Source organism: Homo sapiens, chromosome 20 (genome assembly GCF_000001405.40).
Source record: "Homo sapiens chromosome 20, GRCh38.p14 Primary Assembly".
Lineage (NCBI taxonomy): Eukaryota > Metazoa > Chordata > Mammalia > Primates > Hominidae > Homo > Homo sapiens.
The window spans coordinates 43381814-43388651 of record NC_000020.11 but is presented as its reverse complement, the minus strand read 5'-3'; the positions used below and the strand labels follow the sequence as shown (position 1 = coordinate 43388651).

The window sequence follows — 6838 nt, the reverse complement described above, 5'->3', positions numbered from 1 at the left end:
AGAAACTTGCTGAGAATTTAATTAAGAACAGTGTACATAAAACTCACTGTTCCTAAGTAAACAAATATTAAGCAAGATACTTCACTTTCATGTTATGGGCTCTTGAGGGGTGAGAAAATCGGGACAGGAGGGGTGGGTGGGGAGCTCTTGAGGGGGAAGAGGAAGAAAGATTCAGACTGAGAAGAAAATAGATTCCAGGTTGGGGAGGGGAGAGAAGACGAAAGCCAGACATACACATTGCAGAGGGAACAGAGGAGAGGCAGATGGAAGGTTCTAACTTCTTCTCTGTCCAGACTTTTTTTTGTTTTTTCTTTTTTTTTTTTTTGAGATTGAGTCTCCCTCTGTTGCCCAGGCGGGAGTGCAGTGACGCAATCTCAGTTTACTGCAACCTCCACCTCCCGGGTTCAAGGGATTCTCCTGTCTCAGCCTCCCAAGTAGCTGGGATTACAGGCACACACTACCAGGCCTGGCTAATTTTGTGTTTTTAGTAGAGACGGGGTTTCACCATGTTGGCCAGGCTGATTTTGAACTCCTGATCGCTGGTGATCCACCCATCTCGGCCTTCCAAAGCCATGAGCCACTGGGCCCGGCCCAGAGTTTTCTTTTGTCTTAGATCTCCACTTTCTTGCTTAGTTTTCATTAGGTTCTGATGCCTGTTAGTTGGAAACAAATTCCTCTTATCACACCAGGTTTTCCTCTTGGGCTTTGTAGCTGGCCCTGCTCACTCACCCCGACTCATGCCTTTGCCACTTGCTGTCCCTGTACATGTAAGAAGGTGTCTCCACTTGAGGATTTCCTCTCAGCCCTGTGCTTGGAGGGCTGGGAACACTGGGGAGTTAATGGCTCTGGGAGTAGGCAATGACAGATGGGAGTTGGAGTATAAATACCTCACCTCTCCTTCCCCTTAGGTGGATTAATTCAGAGCCAAGTCTTCCATACTGTTCCCCAGAGCTACCCAGTAGGATTGAGCTCTCATTGCCCACGGTGGTAACTGGACTGACGGCATGCTATTAATTGGCTTCCATCCTTTCTGTCTTTCTTTCCCTCTTCCTTGCTGCTGCTTCCGGGAGTCACCTCCCAAATAAATTACTTACACTCAAATTCTTGTCTCAGGGTCTGCTTCTGGAAGAATTCAACTCTCAGAAAGGCTTCATATACCATATTAAAATTTTATTTTGGGGATCTTATGACCCTCCTTACCCCCAGAGTTTAGTTAATCCTGTTTGCAATGCAGAACGACTAACATCTTTTAATTGTTAAAGTTTTGCATTGAAGACTTATTTTCTTATTGTGTTTTGAAGGTTTACTGTCCCTGAATAATGGCTTAAGGTTTACAAAGTTGCTTTTCAACTAGCAAGTCTGATGTTTCCCTTTCCAAACCTAAGTGATAGGGTTTGGCTCTGTGTCCTCACACAAATCTCAGGTTGAACTGTAATCCCCATATGTTGGAGGAGGGACCTGGTGGGAAGTGATTGAATCACGGGGGCGCAAGTCCCCCTTGCTGTTCTCATGATGGTGAATTCTGACAAAATCTGGTTGCTTAAAAACGTGTGGCACTTCCCCATTTGCTCTCTCTCTCAGTCTTGCTCTGTTGTGGTAAGAGGTGCTTGCTTCCCCTTTGCCTTCTGCCATGATTGTAAGTTTCCTGAGGCCTCCTAGCCATGCTTCCTGTACAGCCTGTGGGGCTGCAAGTCAATTAAACTTCTTTTCTTCTTACATTACCCAGTCTCAGGTAGTTTTTTTGTAGCAGTGTGAGAACGAACTAATACATTAAGATTGTATCTGGACCCAATCCTTTGTGTCACCTACAATGAGAGTTACTAGAAATAAGGGTGTAAATCCTCAGCTATGCTATCATTCATTTATTTTATTCATGATGTAAGTTTGTATTGAGAAAGCGTGTGCCATGTGCCAGGCATTCCTGCCCCATGAACTTGCTGTCTTGGGTAGCTCGAGATTGGATTTTGGGTGAGGTTTTAGTTTACTTGGTTATTCACTCATTATTTACTGAGAGTCTTTGTGTGCCTGGCACGGTGTTGGATCCTGGGCATACAGAAATGGGTAAGGCCTGGCCTATATTTCCCAGAAGACTGGAAGCCACAAGGCTGCAATGGGTATATAAATAATAGTGGGTTAGTTTGCTTATGATAATGGCCTCTGGCTACATCCATGTTGCTGCAAAGGACGCGAATCCGTTCTTTTTTATGGCTGTGTAGTATTCCATGGTGTATATGTACCACATTTTCTTTAATGTCATGCAACATACCCTTCTAACAAACCTGCCCATGCATCCCCTGAATCTAAAATAAAATTGAAAAAATAAAAATATTGGGAACGTTTCCTGTGATGGATGCATCTAGAGCCAGCAGGGGTGGAGTGAAGGAGAGAGGGGTTAATTCTCTCTTAGGGGCCTGGGAGGCTCAGGAAGTCTTCATGGAGGAGGGACCATGAGCAGAGCCTGAAACATTCTAGGGAGAGGAAAGGATGTGGCAGGAGCAGGGGTGTGGCAGCTCTTTAAGGACTGGGGCTAGTGAGGCCGCAGCTGGAGTGCCAGCAGGTGAGGAACTGGTGTGTCCAGTGTGGGAGATTCTTTGGTTTTAAGATCTGGGCTATGCCGGAAGTAGTGTGGCACAGTGGTTAGGGCACAAGGGATTTGCGTTTGCAAGCTCTTGTCCATAGAGCTTGTGCCCCTAACCACTGTGCCACACCGCTTCCCAGCACAGCCTAGATTTTTTTTTTTTTAAACGGAGTTTTACTCTTGTTGTCCGGGCTGGAGTGCCTTTTTTTTGTTTGTTTGTTTTTGTTTTTGTTTTTGTTTTTTTTTTTGGAGAGGGAGTTCTTCTCTGTCGCCCAGGCTGGAGTGCAGTGGTGCCATCTTGGCTCACTGCAACCTCTGTCTCCCGGGTTCAGGCGATTCTCCTGCCTCAGCCTCCTGAGTAGCTGGGATTATAGGCATGCAACACCATGCCCAGCTAATTTTTTGTATTTTTAGTAGAGATGGGGTTTCACCATGTTGGCCAGGCTGGTCTTGAACTCCTTCCTGACCTCAAGTGATCCGCCCACCTTGGCCTCCCAAAGTGCTGGGATTACACATGTGAGCCATTCCACCCGGCCTCTGAGCCTAGATTTTAATACCAGAGAATCTCCCATGCTGGACACACCAGCGCACACCTGCTTGCACTCTGGCTCTAGTCTTGCTAGTCCCAGTCTCTGAGTCCTGCCTTTCTGAACTTCAGTTTACTCATCAGTATTCGATAGGGGATAGACTACCTCCTGCATAGGGTTGTTGTGACAGTTAAGTGAAGGAAGCCTAGCACAGTCCCTAGGATATTGTGAGTTCTCTCTCTCTCTTTTTTTTTTTTTGAGACAGAGTTTCGCTCTTGTTGCCCAGGCTGGAGTGCAATGGCGCAGTCTCAGCTCACTGCAACCTCCGCCTCCTAGGTTCAAGCAATTGTCATGCCTCAGCCTCCCAAGTAGCTGGGATTACAGGCACCCACCACCATGCCCGGCTAATTTTTGTATTTTTAGTAGAGACGGAGTTTCACCGTGTTGGCCAGGATGGTCTCGAACTCCTGACTTCAGGTGATCCGCCCACCTCGACCTCCCAAAGTGCTGGGATTACAGGCGTGAGCCACTGCGCCCGGCCTGTGAGTTCTCAATCAAAGGACATTGTTTGTTAGTAATTTGCACCCAGTCATCTTGGTTAAAAATGTTTAGATACACAAATACTCCCCACAGTGTTGCCATTGCCTATAGTCGTCAGGACAGTAACATGCCGAACAGTTTGTAGCCTGGGAGCAACAGGCTATAGCATATAGCTTAGGTGCATAGGAGACTATACTATCTAGGGTTGCATAAATACATTCTCTGATGTTTACACAACAACGAAATTGCCTAACACATTTCTCATAACCTATCCCCATCATTAAGTGACACATGACTGTATTTGTATCTACATTACCTGGGGCTTGAGAAACATCTTTGTAAAAGAGACTTGACTGCCCAGGGCAACGAGGAGCAGAAGTGGACTAAACTGGGACAAAAGGATGCCCCTAAATGTGGCCGTGTGTGTCTCCGTGGGAGAGTTGCGTAATTTCCATCATCACCATCCCGGCAGTTCCTGGAATTCATCTTTTGATACCTGGGCAGGGAAGCGGGGGAAGGGGCTCCACCTGATGCCTTCTCCCCACCCCCATGGGGAATTCTTGGTGCTTTGCACTGGGGGATGGTGCCTGTCTGGTGAGCATGGGGACAGACGGGACTGACTGGCAGTACTCCAAACTTCTCACTCGCCAAAAGGCCCACGTCTCACCCTTTTCAGGAGCATCTGCAGTGATGTTCTCAGAGAAGTTGGAGACCTCCCAAATACCCACCCATTCTGGTGTCTCTCTGCATGGAGAACCAGCAGATGGACAGTGAGACCCCCTCTGCCAAGGACTTGGAATACGGCTCTGCTTTAACAGTTTGGGGACACCCCCACCCCATGAAATTTTCTCAGACTTGGGAGAAGAAAGGGACCAGAGAGAGGGAGAGCTAGGACAGCGCTATATTTGTGTAGATGGGGAAACTGAGGCTCAGAGATGTGAAGGGAGTAGCTCAGAATTACATAGTTGGTCAGTTTCCAGGCAGGCTTTTCTCTCCGTGGTTGGTTTACTTTCTACACTCCTTGAGGTAACTTTCCCCACCTACCTGTGATCTGCCAGCCAAAAGGTGTTGCCAGGTTCACCCCAAGTCCTCGCCCCTCACCTCAGCCAGATGCTCCTAGTTCTGTGCCTTTAGAGAAACACAAGGCTCTCATTGAACATTTATCCCTCCCTCTCTTCACCTAGCAAAAGAGCATGTATGCTGTCTTTGCCTCAGGCACTTTTCATTGTTGTGGATTCAGTGGTGAATATGGTGGGGGTTAATTTGGAAGCGGTGGGGGGAGTCTGGAGTCACAGCTTTTCAAGTATTTCTTCACTCTTTCCTCCAAAATACCCGCATTTCTTTGTCTCTTAAACATATCTCCAACCTTTAGTAACTTGCAGTCCCTTGACTCACAATGTTTTCCCTTCCTCCTTCCCATGTGGAATCTTGCCATCAGCTTGAGGCATGGTGGGGAGATTCTAGTGATAACTTCTGGGGCCAAGGGATCCCATATGGCTCTGGTTTTCAAGGAGACTAGCACTATCTTCAGAGGCCACAGGTCATGGACGAGGTGGGCAGGAACTTTCCAGAACACACCTCTCTGAGTTGAGGGTGAAGCTTGCATGGTTTATTTCCCCCTTGTCTCCTGCATGTTGTGAAATGTTATTCTTACCCTTGGGTGGCTGTAATAGTGAAAGGGACGTTTTCTTGTTTGAGTCAGATCTCTTTGGGTTGTAAGTGAAAGAAACTTGCATGGAAGTGGTAGAACAACATTGCGACCAATAGCTCTGGAGCATGAAATCTCAGTTTCAACCCTCATAGGGAGGGACAGATTCAATTCTCGCTTTGTCCCATGTCCAGAATTTCAGGACAGGGAGTAATTGGTTCAACTTAGGTCAAGCTCCCTTGGCCACCACGAGCCAAACAGCTGTGGCTGGAGGAATGAGGTCATGGGATACAGAATCGTTGCTTCTATAGTAACTGTGTAAATGGTGGGGAAGGTTCCTAGAGAGGGTCCCCAGAAAAGAGGGGAGCTGGGTAGGTAAAGGTTCATTCAGGATGCTCATTTGGGAGTGGGTCTGGAGACACAGTGTCTTTGCCCCTAATGTGCTCAGTTTGGCCTCATTAGCATCTAGTAGGTTTGATGATCCTCTTTAGGCTCAGACTCTTCTCTTTCTTACCTCATACCCCCAAAGGGCCACGGCAACCACAAAAGCGGCTGTTTTCACATGCGTCCGTGTGAAGAGACCACCAAACAGGCTTTGTGTGAGCAATAAAGCTTTTTAATCACCTGGGTGCAGGCGGGCTGAGTCCGAAAACAGAGTCAGCGAAGGGAGATAGGGGTGGGGCCATTTTATAGGATTTGGGTGGGTAAAGGAAAATTAGTCAAAGGGGGCTGTTCTCTGGCGGGCAGGGGCGGGGGTCACAAGGTGCTCAGTAGGGGAGCTTCTGAGCCAGGAGAAGGAATTTCACAACGTTAATCGCTCGGTTAAGGTGGGGCAGGAACAAATCACAATGGTGGAATGTCATCAGTTAAGGCAGGAATTGGCCATTTTCACTTCTTTTGTGATTCTTCACTTGCTTCGGGCCATCTGGACGTATATACGTGCAGGTCACAGGGGATATGATGGCTTAGCTTGGGCTCAGAGGCCTGACAGCTGTGGCATTGTGGACTTTGTCTTCGTGGTGCTCGTGGTACGAGAGAGTCAGCCTGAAGTCCAGTCCAGGCTTTCCTTTTCCCTGCTGCCTTGTGTTCAAGGAGGCAAGGCAGAGCAGAAAGAGCTGGCCTCTGGTGTTATACTGAGCCCATTTCAAGTCCTAGCTCTGCCATTGCTATATCAGAACCTGGGCAAAACAGGTAACCTCTTTGAGCCTGATTTTCTTATTTATGAAACTGGAACATGAGCAATTACCTTGCAAGGGTTAGGGATAATCTTTATTGCTGGGTCTGAAACTTGACTGTGCATTAGAATCACCTGGAGGGCTTATTGCTGGGACGCACCCCCAGGGTTTTTGATTCAGTGGATCTGGAGTGTGGCCTGATCAACTGCAGTTTAAGCAAGTTCTAGGTGATGCTGCTGCTGCTGCTGGTCTGGGGACCACATTTTAAGAACCACTAATCTACATTTACAATATTTCTCGACTGACATGGTTTGATTGTGTCTCTACCCAAATCTCACCTTGAATTGTAATAATCCCCACGTGTCAAGGG

At 47.5% G+C, this 6838-nt stretch overlaps 1 annotated feature.

Annotated features, from left to right (window-relative positions):
• Positions 5317-5366: a silencer, noted in NCBI's record as "silent region_12923". NCBI's record gives its function as "represses an Ori minimal core promoter by ATAC-STARR-seq in GM12878 lymphoblastoid cells {active_cell/tissue: GM12878}" and the evidence as "EXISTENCE:reporter gene assay evidence [ECO:0000049][PMID:35858748]".